The sequence below is a fragment of the Homo sapiens genome, chromosome 3 (genome assembly GCF_000001405.40).
Source record: "Homo sapiens chromosome 3, GRCh38.p14 Primary Assembly".
Classification (NCBI taxonomy): domain Eukaryota; kingdom Metazoa; phylum Chordata; class Mammalia; order Primates; family Hominidae; genus Homo; species Homo sapiens.
Window position 1 is genome coordinate 108,062,892 of NC_000003.12, and position 15,475 is coordinate 108,078,366.

The following is a 15,475-nucleotide window of genomic DNA, read 5'->3' on the forward strand; positions in this document are numbered from 1 at the left end:
GATCCACCTGCCACGGCCTCCCAAAGTGCTGGGATTACAGGTGTGAGCCACCATGCCTGGTGACTTACATCCTTCTTAACAAAAATAAGAGTTTGAATCTCATATAAAATTTATCCTCTTAAGGCTTAGAAGAGCTGTTATAGGAGAAAACAGTGCAAACAATAGCAACAAAAATAAAACATCACAAAATACTACCATAGACAGGGTTCCACCATAAAATGGTCCGTCTCTCTTTGAGTATAAGTACACTATATATTGAAAGTAGTTTTGGTTCCTGTTGATTAGTTCAACTACTACTTATTTTCCAGGCCACCTTAAACTTTTCCTTAAATTAAGTAGCCATTTCCAACAAATACACATGTTGAGGATCCCAAGTGTGAAAAAATCTGAAATCCAAAACACTTCTGGTCCCAGGCATTCTGGATAACGGACACTCCACCTGTCTCTGTGGGGTCTACTAATGAAAGAGTATCTCCAGGTTTTCTTCAGTGAATCTTCAGAAAGAGTTTCTTTTGGCTCATTTTCTTTGCTCACATGGTCACATTTCAGCAGGTACCACAGCTAATGTGGGGTAGGTATCTTGTTGCTAGCCCAGTCGTCAAATTTCTCAGTATAGTGAAAGGGCAAGGAATTTGATATAATAGATGCCATAGAACCCAATAACCTCAAGGATCTCTTATTGATCTTTTCTTGTCCTTCAGTAAGTGGATTTATCCTTATTTATTGAATGTATCAAAACATTAAATGCAGCAAAAAAAATAAATTCAAGTAATTCTCCACTTAGCATTAAGATAAAAATAACTCAATGTGTTGTTAACAGCAGGCTCTTATCAAATTTTCTAGTATGACTTTCAGACGGCTTGGCAAGGCAATCTATGTAATTTTTAAAATCTGCATGCTCTTAAGGATTACCCTCAGCTACAACTACTGAAATCAATACACAAAATAAAGTACATGAGAAATAACAGTAATTACATGCTTAACAAAAAATGTATAACCTTAGTGCTCAGCCTGACACAGGAATACCAAGTATCAGGGGAGACAATATAACATTTTTGTGAACAAATTAGGTATTCTAAAATTTTCTTTTATATGTTCTATAAAATAATTAGTAACCAAAAGCAGGCTACTTCTAAGAAATCTGTTGGGTTGGTTCATTCATCTGTTCTACAAATATTTACTGTGTACCTACAATGTACCAGCCCCTTTTGCTAGTCTAAATCAAGGAACAAGTAGATTACTTTATTTGACAATAATTGATTGAGCACTATCCATCTATATGACTATCACTATTCTAAATGCTGACAGTGAACACGAAAAGCAAACACAAGGCCTGCCTCAAGGCCCTTACATTCTAATGGGTGAGTGTGTGTGTTTGAGGGGAGGGGGGTGTGAGTGATGAGTATGTTACTCCCAAAACTTCTTTCCCAGTTAAAGAGATGGTGAAGGCCTACTCTACTCTAAGAAAATTCCTTTATGCATTTAATCTTTCAAATTCATGCAGATGAAGCAATGACATGTCCCTCTAGCCACCTGAAAAAACAGCTAATGTTATGAATGGACAAGAAGGTTTTCTGATTTTGTGACCAATAGACAGCACATACAAGATAAAATGCAGGTTGTGACTGATGAAATCTAATGAAATTACCAAGTCAACTTGGGGATAAAATCAAGTCTATCATGCTAAGTTTCCATGACACCCCAAAGACTGGATTTGACACACCCATATAGGCTCACACAGACTGCAGTCCATCCAACAAAACCCAAAACCCAAGAATTTAATGCCTGCCCAAAGACATGACATTTGGAGTGATTGGTAAGTAAGCAGAGAGACAGGAAGGCTTACCAGGCTGATGCGTATCAGACTAAGAATAAATCATAAAGAAAGATGGGTTTGATTTCATTATTACAGTGCTGTTTTCTGATAACTCTAGGAAAGTAATTTTAGAATATATTTGGTGTCTGTTGAGCTGTAAATGAATATTGTTTTCAGTGCAGAATAAAGCACATCAGACACCTTTACACATAAAATTACAATTTCATTTTTTAAATTGTTTAAATTTAAATTACTATTTTTCAAGTATCTAATACACTTATTTAACACACACATGCATACACAAATGAAAGCTTCTGAAACTGGTACTGGAAAAAAATGAACATTAATACCAATTATAAAATTACTTGACAGAAGACAAGTTAAATCATTTTATAATAATCTCCATACACTATCCAACTTGCTCTAATGAAACAATTTTGTCACAATGAATACTGACTAGACATCAGTCTATAGGACAGAGATAAAAGAGTCCAGGCTTTGTGCATCAAGTACTTTGAACATAAAAGATGAAAGAAGAGGATGTCCAACAGACCAAACTTCCTTTTTTTCATTATCAACTTTCCCTGCCTTGTGGATTTCACAATTTTTGAGTATATGGAGAAGGTTGTGATGTCTGGATTTGGAAAGGGTCAAGGGATTTCTACAAAAGAGTAAAATGCTGAGCTATAGATTTGTTCAATTCCTCCTACAATAAAATCAGCACATAAGCACATTATTTAATAACAGAATGTGATCATTATATGGACAGGACCAAGGGAAAGCACTGGGAGTTCAAGATTATTGAACAGAATTCACTGTAAGGGGCCATGCATGGTGGCTAATGCCTGTAATCTCAGCACTTTGGGAGGCCGAGACAGACGGATCACGAGGTCAGGAGTTCGAGACCAGCCTGGCCAATATGGTGAAACCCCATCACTACTAAAAATACAAAAATTACCCAGGCATGGTGGTGCACGCCAGTAGCCTGTAGCTACTCGGGAGGCTGAGACAGAAGAATCGCTTGAACCTGGGAGGCGGAGGTTGCAGTGAGCCGAGATCACGCCACTGCACTCCAGCCTGGGCAACAGAGCGAGACTCCGTCTCAAAAAAAAAAAAAAAAAAAAAAAAAAAAAAAAAGAATTCACAGTAAACTTAATAACAAAGTCTTATTACCAGGGGCCATCAACCAGGTCACAGAATGATTCTTTGTGATAATATTTATTGTATATTTTACTTTCTTGGATGGAAATTTCCTAGTCCAAGATAGGCTATGTCTTCACTTTTTCAGAATAATTTTTCTAATCTATGAAGAAATTTCCTGTTCCATTACTTATTTTAAATATGCTTTCATGGCTGAATTACTTTCATTATTAAGCTGTCCTCAAGTCAAAACTCAAGGACTTGGTAGGATCTCAAGGTAGTGTAATGAGAACTTTTTTCCTTGAATTTTCTAACAATGATTTCTACAGGAACATCTACTCAAAGACATCTGAGCCGTAACCAAAATCTCTGTGGAGTAATTTTGAGCAGGGAGGGGAAAGTTGAAAAAAAAAAATTAAAGATGCCTAGAATACAGTTTTAAATTTGGAATCAAGTACAGCAGTCCTCACTTTGCACTATTCTGATATGAATTCCAGTTACCATGGTTTAATCAAATAAATCCCTCATAAACAGTCCAAATTTCAATTACCACAATATATTAACTGAGTAACTGCATAAAGTACAACTTCACTGCTATTTCTTCAGTTCAAAAATAACTATGTAAATAGCAGATGTCCCATCATGATCAGTGATCAACCATGTCACTTCTTTTGAAGACTGTTGGTGACTAGTCACTGTACATCTGATATTTAGGTCATGCACAGACAGCAAAGTATGGAGTTTTGTTACCTCCTTGTTTCCCAGTGATAAACCCATGTGACATTTTATAATGGATAAATCAAAAGAGGAAACTAGGCAAGAAAGATGAAAGAGTAAAGAAATAAAAACTGACAAATGCTAGGAGTGAAATTTGAATAGACCATAAATGGAGTAAGAGAAGAAATAGCTGATTGTGCGAATGTCGACATTACTGCAATGCAAGAAACTCTAGAGATGAAGCCAGAAGAACTCAGCGAAGGTGGACTTACTGATATAAATGAGGAAAGTGAGGAGGATGTAACAAAAAGAATAAAGATGTCCCAGAGGAAGTGACTGGCAATAAAATAAACTTTAAACATTCAAAAAAACATTAAAGGAATTCTTTCATGACATTGAGAGTGCAAAGGATAAAACGGTAGAAACCGATCCAAACTTAGAAAGGGGTATGACAATTCACCAAGCCATAGAGAAGATGCTTGCTCTGTATCCAAAGTTATGCAAGAAGAACACACAAGTGTTGTTCAAACTACTCTTGATAACACACTTTCATTCTCGATGTTTCTAATGATTTAATTTACCACATACTAAATACTAGCTTTACTATTTTTCATTTCCCAATGCCGTTGTTATTGATAATAACAGAGTTTTTAAGGTTTTAACAACAAAAAAAATTTTAAAGGTCATGGAACAATATAATAATAGTTTTTCCCATTCATCATGAAGATTGTTTTGCAGAATTTCAGCTTACATGGTCATGTTTATGGTCTTGCGGTTTTGTGCGAAGCCAGTATTGCCTGTATAAAACAAAGTTACAAAGGCAAAGAAAGAACAGATAGGCCTATCTCAAAGAATTTCAAAATGTTAGCCAGTTCTTTACATACAGTTGGACCTTAATCCTGCAGGAACTGGAGGACTAGGTGGACAGCACTTAAAATGATATCAGAGTGAGAAAGAAGAATCCTGAAAATCAGCCAGGAACTTAATTGTCAGTAGAGTGGCAAACTGTGAGTTGGTGTAGTTTTCAGAACACAAACAAAGCGTCTGAAATTCAATACTATCAGTTAAGCCTTGGTGTTTGATTCTAGCAATCTCTGAGCTGTTTGCTAAGCATAGAGATTCTGCTTAAAAGTTCCTAAGTTAAAGCTAAGCTAAAGGTGAAGGTATTTAGGAACATTTCCCTGTAAGAGGCCTTTATCTTTGAAACGTGGTCCAGGGCTCACCAAGTGCTGGCTGGGCTCTGGGAGTTTAAGAGTCTTCTCAGGCTTCTTCCTCAGTAGGACCAATGGCATCCTGAGACATCTTTCAAGATACAGCTCTGGTATAAAGAAACTCTTTCTCCTCAGAGTGAGCAAATGAGGGCATAACCTGCTGTCTTTACTGAAAGTTTAGCCTGGTAAAGGTCCAGGTTTGTCTTGGACCACAAAGACTCACATGCAGAGCTGGAAAAACCACTGAGAGAAATCCCCTGTAGCCAAGTACAGACCATAAATGGTAATCAGGAAAAGTTAAGCAGAACTAGAAATCTATAAAATAAAAGTCATGGGTCTGAGTTATTATGAATGCTTTAGAAGATTTACCATACTGGATTCTAAAAAATATACATCTAAGCAGGTGGAGAATAGAGGTGCTTTCTATTTCTATTTGGTGGAATGCTCAGGCCATCAACAGAGGCACTAACAGAAAAGTTAGATTTGGATCCATGACTATCTCAAAGATGTGACAAGGCATGGGATGCACATACATTCGTGTCTCCCTGGCTTAAATGTGGGTGCTACAAAACCAGGGCAATATGCACATCACACCCACATTTCAGGCATGTAGCTTGGTGTCCAGCAATCAGTAGGCACCCTGTCACTAGGTATTTGCAGAATAAGTAAACAAATCAGGTCAACATTCTGCTCTCCTAATAAGTTTTAGCTACTCAGTATTATGTGCTTAGATATAGGTTCACCCTTCATGGAAATAAAATCCTCAAAATAAATGCAAAACGGGGAGGCAGTACAGTGCAGTGGTAAACAGTACTAGTTCAAATCCCAGTACTATCAGGAAACGGCTGGGTGATTGCGGGCAAATTGCCTAATCTATCTGTGCCTGTTTCTTATCTACAAAACGGGAATAACAACAGTGTCTATGCCCATAGAGTTTCTGGGAGAAATAAATGTCATTTCAGATATAGAGTACTTTGCACAGAACCTGTCAAGCAGAGCAAGAGCTCCACAAATGGTTAGCTACTATTATCATCAACACCTTTAAATGTGAGCGCAGGCTGGGTGAATCATGTATAGACATACCTCTTCCATGCACATACACACACATCTACCTGTTTCAAGATGAGCCAAAACAAAAAATTCCCACCAAAATATTTCTTTAGGTTTATAAGCACGTTCCTTAAAATATGACCAGTACAAAAAATATAAAAAAGAACATTCCACCTTACTAACACAAAAATTACAATTACAATAAGATGCTTTTTCACCCATCAAATTTGCAGAGATTTTAGCGTTATAATATCAGAATTATAACTGAGGTGAAAGACAGGTATTCTCATCTGCAATAGTAGTTGATACAAACGTTTCTGGAAAACATTTTGCCAGTATGTATCTAGAGTCTTAAAATATCTCTGCCAATTCCAGGCTTCATATCTTTAGCAGAGTTATTTTCATAGTATCAAAAAAATTGGAAACATCCTTAAAATCCATCAAGATGAGAGTTAAGTAAATTATAGTGCATCCACAAAAGTAGAACACAGGCAGCTATAACAAGATTTCTGAAGACATGGGGGAACATCAGAACGTACAAGCATATAAGCTGTACGAGTCCATTTATGGTTACCTTTTTTTAAAAAAAAGATAACAAAAATGAATAGAAAAAGACAGAAAGGGAAACAGGAAATTCACCAGAATATACCAATAGTTTATTTCTAGGTTTGGGGACTACAGATGAGTTTTTTTTTTTTTTTTTTAAATAACTCCCTACTTTGTACGAGGTGTTCTAAAGTGATATGTATGACTTTTTTAAGTCAGAAAAAATATTGTAAAGCTCATTTTGTAAAAATACAGCCAACAGTGAACAAACTCACTCCTGGTTCATTTCACTAAAAATAATGTCACCAATGATAACGTCTGGATCAGCAAACATCCATCAAGCCAAACTCAAAAAATCGCACTATGTGAAATAATTTCATGATCTTTGAAAAAGGCTGTTCCCTGCCCAAGTCATATGACTTAGCCCTTAAAGTCTGGCTCTGCCAATATGGTTAAAAGCTTTCCCTAATATCATTGATGCCAGAATAGGTCTTAATGCTACACCAGTCCTTTTCTTGACATAAAAAACTAAGAGATTATAAGAAAATTTCCAAAAGAAGTCTAGACACTATCTTGAAAGTAAAAGTTATAAAATGTCTTGACAGTTGCCACTGCCACCCCTTTCTTCCCCCTTTTTTCCTTTCAGACAAAAGTTGAGAACATTTCTGAAATCACTAAGCATTTCCAGAATGCCATACACTGAGAAAAGCGCTTAAAACATATAATCAATCAGTCATCTCCCTTCCATGTTTATACACCACCATAGATATAGACAGCTTAAACTGCTGAGTAAAAGTAAAATTCATAAAATATACAACAGGGCAATCCACTGCAATAGTTTACTAGCTTTTGTGTGTTTAAAGGTTGCAGAATAAATTAAATAAGCAGTATTTATTCCTTGCTTATATAAATGTTTACTGGTCTTCAGGATGCTACAAGGAAAGAAGGAATAAATCTTGTATTTAAAAAGCTTAAAAGTTTAGACTGTCACCTCAGAACTTCATTAATTTTGTAAATTTTCTTTACCAAAATATGAAAATATGGTTGATTAAACATTAACCGTAATGCATATTACCTATTTGCCTAGTAATGACAATTCTGTGTTGTTGAAGCTAAATCTAATGCAGCATCAAGATCTGCCTTCAGAAGTCTGGTTACGTTACTATTATAGGAAAGCAAGATCAAAGAACCTAACTCTCTGGTGGCTGCTTCTTTAGAGGCTGCAGAACTGCACGCAGAGGATGACAAAACATAGTTCCGACTGGACTTTTCCAAGGGTGAACACGTGTACACAGAGAAAATCAAACTGGGAAAATAAAAAGAGGGGAATCTAAATGCTCCAAAGTATAACGTCCTACCTTAAAACTAATGCAGGCTGTCACCACCTGTTTACCTAATAACATAATGTGTGTGTAGATGTTCTGTGAATATTAAAATGTGACATGAGTTTAAGGTGTTGGTACTAATATTCCTACTATTCATTCTTAAGAGATTAAAAAAACACCAAGTGAAAACAACCTTCTTAGGAATTAAAAGTGAACTGCAGCAAAATGTGGGCGACAACATATACTTCAAGGAGACTAGTAGTATTCAAATTACATACTCATATTTATCATAATAGCACTTTTCCTAGTACAACTTTAAATATTTCGCTGACAATGTCTCGTAGAAATAACTATATCATCACTGAAACATAAATGAAAAGTAGAAATAATACTTACTTTTAATACCAAACTGTCCCCAGAACAGGAGTATAGCAAAAATTGGGAAAATAACAATAAGAATATTTTCATTTGGAGAAAACCATGAAACTGGGGAAGAAGAAAACAAAAGTCACAATTAATATTTACTATAACACTTTAAATTCTGCTAATGGTCTATAATACATGCTTTATTATAGAGATGGAAAAAAATTAAAACTGTGGCCTTATTTTTACATGTATTTATTTATACATACACACATATACATAAAACAAATTACACATAATGTACTTATGTAAATTTTATTTATGAATAAAAACTACACTTACTTAAGCATTTCTCACATTTTTCTTATGTTTCACGGGAGGAGGTAGTGCAGTGCAGTGGCTGAGAACAAGGCTCTGTGGCCACACTGCCAGGGTTTGAACCCAACTCTAACTTAACACTCTATGGAACCGTGACCACGTGTCAACACCTCTTTGTTCTTTGGTGTCCTCAACTGTTACACTAGTATAACACAGTACATGTATCTTGAAGGACTGTTGTAACTATTAACAAAGTTAATAAACTACATGCAAAGGGCTTAAAACAAAGCTTAGCACTCACTAAGTACTCAGTTAACTAAAATAAGTATGTATTCATGTGTTGAGTGGCTGGGTGTGTAAAGTTCCAAGAATGTACCTTCAAGTAACAATGAAGTCTTCCTGTAAAGACAGACTCAGGGAACCTAAGCGAGGAAGATGCACCACTAGGTACTCTCTTCTCATTGTGGTTAAAATGGAGAGAGATGTGCCCGGTTGGTCTTTTCCCAAACTCACTCTGCAATTATCCATGCATAATTAGGCTTCAGAAGGACTGTTTATATGTAAAGTAAGATGAGTGGCTTTAGGATATTAACGAAGCTGTTATTAAGTTGGTCACATGTTACTTTTATCATAAAAATATATCCACATATCCTATATAAAGGAAATTAAGATATTAAGACTTCAAATAAGATTTGTGAGAACTTTTAAAAATTAAGTTTAATTGCATCTTATAAACCCCTAAGACCATAATTTTAGCTGTGAAGTTTCTGCTCTAACAATAAAGCCAAGTAAATGTACTGAAAGTATTCCGGAGTTTGCCTGTACAAGGGGCTGTGTGATTGGAAGAGTTCTTCTGAATACTGCCCTAAGCAAGCACTAGCATTCCTCTGAAATCAACACTTCTTTCAAATTCTACCACGCACTATCTCTCAGGTCACAGGTGAGGAATTTTCCAGCCTTTCACTCCATAATGATAGCCACATATTTCTTGTGTTAAGCTTATAATGCTATAATAAGTCCTGGTAAAATGCTTACATCAATCCCCAGAATATAACAACATCATAAACTCTGTTTTATAGATATTAGCTTTTCAGAATCTAGCATTTTCCTCTATATGTAGTAGAGACTCCATATGTTTGCTGTTGAGGGTTGCAATGGTCATAAGACAGTTTTGCGAGTGAATGGAAGACTTTTTTTTATGCTTCTTTGGTTGTGGATCTCTACTGAGAGATGTTTTTGGATACTCCAAATCAATACCTTTATTTCCAACTGTATAACTGAATATCTTCTTATGCCAAAGAAAAGTCACTTCAGTATAGCCTAAAACCCTACCAGGAAAAAATTTTGGAGATCATGCTTGGATTTTTGTATCTAATCCCCAATGGATTTGGTAAGGCTGTATGGTCTAATAGCCATGCTTAATTGATGTATTTTTCCTTACTTCCCCTGTGCTTTTGTTTTTAATTGTGTACCTCAACTCCTCAAATCCTCACAATTATGATGTGAGAAATTATTAACCCCTCCTTATAGTTGTAGAAACTGAGGAACAGTGAATTCAGGCTCTTCAGTTAATCTTAACTGTTCATGTTCCACAATGAATCCTGATATTTTCATCACCCCATCCCCCACTAAACTCCCCCTCTCATTTTCCTCATTTCAGTCGTGGTGACCCCATTTCTTCAGTTGCTTGAGGCTGAAAACCTTGGAGTTATACCTGACTCCCTGATTTCTCCCACATCCCACTCTAGTTAAACAGCAAATCCTGCTGACTCTACCTTCAAAATATAGCCAATATCTGATCTCATAGTCAAGATGAGCTGACAATGAAATGTTCTTTCATTGGTCCCTGCCCCTATACACAACAAAATTTTAGGATATATTAATAGAATATTAATATATTAATATTAATTTGAATATATTAACAAAAGTAAGAGGTGCATTCGATCCTGGTGTGACCACTCATTTTTCACTTATTCCACAAACACTTATTGAAAGCCCACCATGGGGAGGAACTCCTCTAGGCTCTTGAAGGCCAGCAGTGAACAATGCAGAGGACCCTGAGTGTGCAGAGTGGGAGAAGCTGAGGCAGTAAGGAAAGGCCTCTAGGGAGAGGAACGAAACTAAGCCTAGGATGGGAAGGAGCCTACATTGTGAAGACAGGGAGGAAGAGATGCCAAAGGAACGGCAACTTTGAGAAACCAAAGGATGGCCATTGTGACTGGAATTCAGTGATGAGATCAAATGGGAAGAGTTTGCTGGGGCAAGACCATGTAGAGTCTTAAAAGCTTGTTGGGAGAGTTTGGATTTTATTCTAAGAGCAATGACAAGCGGCTGGAAGGCTTTAAATAGGGAAGAAAAATAACCTGACTTATTTCAAATCTTCTTTGGCAGCCACATGGAGAATGGATTACAGGGAAGCAGGACCTGTCAGAAAGTTACAGCAGCAGTCATTTGGAAGGGAGAAGGGTGTGACCAACAAACGCAGTCCTGAGCTCAGTTTTACTCATCACATTTGAAGATCTAACAGGGAATTGCTCCAAAGGAAGATGACTAGAATGGGGATCCCGAAACCATGAGCAATGGCTAAAAGAACAGAGATTTTCATCACAGAGAGGTATAAACTTGAGAGAAATACTACAGCCCTCCCAGTGAGTGAGAATAGTAGCAAGTTTTAGCTTGATTTAAGGAAGAACTGAAATTGCCTGATAACAGACCAAGATCCTCTGGGAAGTAATAATGTCTCATCATGTCAAGCTTTCAGTAAAAAATCTGAATCGCCAGCTACTTGGGGTGTGATAGAAATAATTCGTAAATTAGATGATGAGATAGACTAGATGACTACTTGATGACTCCCAGATTCTATGTGAAACAAGAAATATGAGACATTTCAATGACAGAGAGGAAGATTACAGAACAAAAAATACTGTCTAAGTGATTCTTTTTTTTTTATTTTTGAGATGGAGTCTCACTCTGTTGCCCAGGCTGGAGTGCAGTGGTGTGGTCTCAGCTCACTGCAACCTCCACCTCCCGGGTTCAAGCAATTCTCCTGTCTCAGCCTCCCAAGTAGCTGGGATTATAGGCAGGCGCCACCATGCCCAGCTAAATTTTGTAATTTTGGTAGAGACAGGGTTTTATCATGTTGGCCAGGCTGGTCTCAAATTCCTGACCTCAGGTGATCCACCTGCCTCAGCCTCCCAAAGTGCTGGTATTACAGGCGTGGGCTGCCACACCTGGCCTGTCTAAGTGATTCTTAACTGGAACTTATCAGTTTGTCACTCTCCCTTCTCATTATTGTGCCAGGATTTTAAATTGTTCCCTGATATGTGGGGCGGGTGGGGGGGGGGGGCACACAATGGAGAAGGGCATCCAGGATTCTCTCAGTTTGAAATCACTGCTGCACATTTCTGCTGTATTTGAACTACAGTCACTGATGAACATGTTCCTCCTCTCTCTAATTTGTTACAGTGGGAAAAGTTTGAGGATCATGGAATTAGATATTTAAGAACCAACTGAGATGCTGGGGGAAAAAAACCAACATTTTATATAAAGCCACTTATATGCCTATTAAGCTATTGATTTGTTATGGTAGTACTGTCAGATGACGTTAACTCTTGTTCCTCAAGGGGAGAGTGAGACATGATACTTCTTTCAGCTCTGAATTTCTATGCCACTAAGAACATAAATTAAGCTTAAAATGGACTAAGAACAATGTCAGATATTTTTCCATCACAAGATTAATAAAGATAAGCCAAGGACATTCACATCCTTATTCTACCCAAGCTATGGCTGACAACTGTGTCTATCACTCTCCTCCAATTCCTGGACAGGCAGAATGGCTTCCACGAAAATGAACTTCTTGCTAGTGGAAAGGCAAAGAAGTGATATTACAAGGGTGTAGTCAATGAATAAGTGTTTAATTTTTGCTTTCAAGCTGAAGTGTTATTAAAACCCAGGACCTCATTTGTCTTATCACTGTACAAAAATGAGACAACCTAAAAAAGTGAAGACACCATTCCTATCAACAAAGTGTCTCCTTCAAACTCCCACAAACATAGGGAACACCAGGTTACACACACACACACACGCATACACCACAGTAACATTTACAATCCTAAAATGCAAACCAAATTTTTACTTGATGTTTCAGGATTGTGATGGCTTTTCTGATGTGTCGACTTGCTAGGCTACAGTCCCATTATTTATTTAATCAAACCCAGAATTCTAAGGTGGTCCCAAAACCCCTGCCCTAGCCATGCATCTTTTATAATTCCCTCCCCTTGTGTGTGGGAGACTAGGACTGTGAATGTATTGGATTTCATTTTCATGATTATATCACCCAGCAAAAGGGAGTTTGCTGATGTAATTAAGATCCCAAATCAGCTGACTTTAAGAAAGAGAGATTATTTTTGAGGGAGAGAGAGCTGACCTAACCAAGTGGTCTCTTAAAAGGGTCTGGGTTCTTCCTGGCAAAATAAACTCAATATGTGAGAGGGATTCAACAAGAGGAAGATTCTCCTTTGCTGGCTTTAAATATGCAAGGGGCCATGGGGCAAGAAATGAGGGCAATCTCTAGGAGCTGCTACAATTCCTTGGCAGATACTTAGCAAAGAAACAGGGACCCCAGTCTTACAATCACAAGGAATTGAATTCTGTCACAATTATGTGAGCCTAGAACAAGACCCCAAACTCCAAATAAAGTATGCCCTGGGCAACACCTTGATTTTAGTCTTTTAAGACTTTGATCAGAGAACCCAGTCATGCCATGACCAGGCTTGCCACCTACAAAACTTTGAGCTAAAAAATGGGTAGTGTTTTAAGCTGCTATATTTGTAGTTGTTATGCAGCACTAGAAAACTAATACAAAGATCTTGCAATGCCTTCATGTCTTCATTATAAACAGACCATATGTCCTGTTGATAATAATGGAATTGGCAACACTGCGGAACTTGAACTGACCTTTCTAAACAAAACTCTAATAGCTTAGAGAAAAATAAACTTTAAGTTTTCAAGTTTTTGTATTGCTAATAGAACAGAAATATTAATGATAAATTTTATGATTACTAGTATTTGCATTCAGTATTTAGTTATTTACAAGGTGTTTTCACATGAACCACATATTACGGTGGTAAAAATACTGGGTTTTGATGCCAAAGAGATCTAGGTTTAATTCTTGGCTATTACTCTGACCTTGAACAATACCTTGAATCTCTTTTGCTTCCCTATTTGTTAAATGGTAAGAACTCCATCTATCTCCTAGAGTTCTTGAGAGGATAACAGGACACGACTTACATAAAGTATGTGGCACATGTGCAAATAAATGTTAGGTCACTTCACTCTTCATATTTGTACTGCAACCACTTCCTTGAAATCAGCAATAATGTCTTATTCATCACAGAATCTGTGATGCCTAGTACGGTGACTGGCACATGGTAGGCACTTAGTAAAATTTTGTTAAGTAAGAGAGGTATTATTTATATCTCAAACATTTCCATGATGGTGATGCCATCTTTACTGTACTAAGAAGAATTTGAGGGACAGATAGGTTGAGTTTTTTATCCAACTTTTCTTAAGCTATTAAACAGTGAAGTCTAGAAAACAGCTTTCTAATTTCAAGTCCAGTGCTCCTTCTAATGGACTATATCATACATAGGCACAGAGGTATATAAAACTATATCTTATAGTGTTTCCATGTATTCAGTCCTAGTCCTCCAAAAAATTTAAAAAGGCACAAAGAATGGTCACTATTATCTGCATTCTATTAAGTAGAATTCACTTCTCTATTGAGCAAATTCTGTTTCTCATTTATGCCTGTATTTGCAAAAATCACGACATAGTAAAAATGGTTTCTAATGCTTAAATCCTCAAAGTCCGTGACAAGTAAGTATTCTTATTAGAAAAGAACTTATACTCCATAGTAAGAGTCCTGCCCCATTTAACCTTTTTGTGCAGATAACTTTTTAACTGGTTTTTGTTTGTTTGTTGTTTTTTTCAGTTAAAAATGGTTACAACATAGTGGCACCAGATACTGGTGAGGATGTGGAGAAACCAGATCACTCTTACATTGTTGATGGAAATGTAAAATGAAATAGCCACTCTGGAAAAGTCTGGCAGTTTCTTTAAAAACTAAGCATATACTTACCATACAGCCCAGTAACCATACTTCTGAGCATTTATCCCAGAGAAATGAAAACTGTGTCTACACAAGAACCTGTACACAATTGTTCAGAGCAGTTTCATTTGTAACAGCCCAAACTTGGAAACAACCAAAATGTCCTACTATAGGTAAGTGGTTAAACAAACTGTGATATATTCATACTATGGACTACTACTCAGCAAAAAAAAAAGTAAGGAAAAAAGAACTATTGATAGATGCAAAAACTTGGATAGATCTCAAGGGCATTGTGCTTAGTGAAAAAGCCCTTCTCAAAAGGTCACATCTTGTATCATTCCATTTATATAGCATTGTTGAAATGACAAAATTATAGATATGGAGGACAAATTGGTGCTTGCCAGGTTAGGGACAGTGGGAGGTGGCGGTATGACTAGTAAGAATAAGCATGAGGGAGATGTTTGTTATGATGGATAGGTCTATGTCCTGATTGTGTAGGTAGTTACGCAAATAAACACGTGATAAAATGAGAGCGAACCATTAACACACACTGCACCATTGTGAACTTCCTGATTTTCATATTGTGTCACATAAGAGGAAACCATTGGGGGGACTGGGTGAAGGGCACATGGAAGCTCTCTATCTTTGAATCGTCCTGTAAATCAATAATTATTTCAAAAAATTAAAATGGATGCAAAGCCAAATGTCTCAAACCTCTGGTAGAATTTTCTACATTCTCTATAATAAAACAATACTTTCTCCTTTTAATGGCTCCCAAAATAAGTCTAGTTTTTATTTTTATAGGGTATTTTGCAAACAAAGATAAAACAGTCTTTCAATCACACGCAAAATAATAAACTGTTTTTATCTCAGATCCTGG

General features: G+C 36.8%; 1 protein-coding gene across 8 annotated transcripts in view; it reads right to left on the reverse strand.

Moving 5' to 3' along the window:
- CD47 (CD47 molecule) overlaps positions 1-15,475 on the reverse strand; it is a 47,941-nt gene that overhangs the window by 19,801 nt on the left and 12,665 nt on the right. For all 8 annotated transcript variants that reach the window (XR_241522.3, XR_924218.3, XR_007095769.1 and 5 more), the window contains exon 3: positions 8,202-8,291. Coding sequence is in view for 4 of the 8 variants with exons in the window: in XM_005247909.3 (XP_005247966.1) it covers positions 8,202-8,291 (90 nt within the window). In the remaining 4 variants the exon portion in view is untranslated. The remainder of the gene's footprint in view (positions 1-8,201; positions 8,292-15,475) is intronic.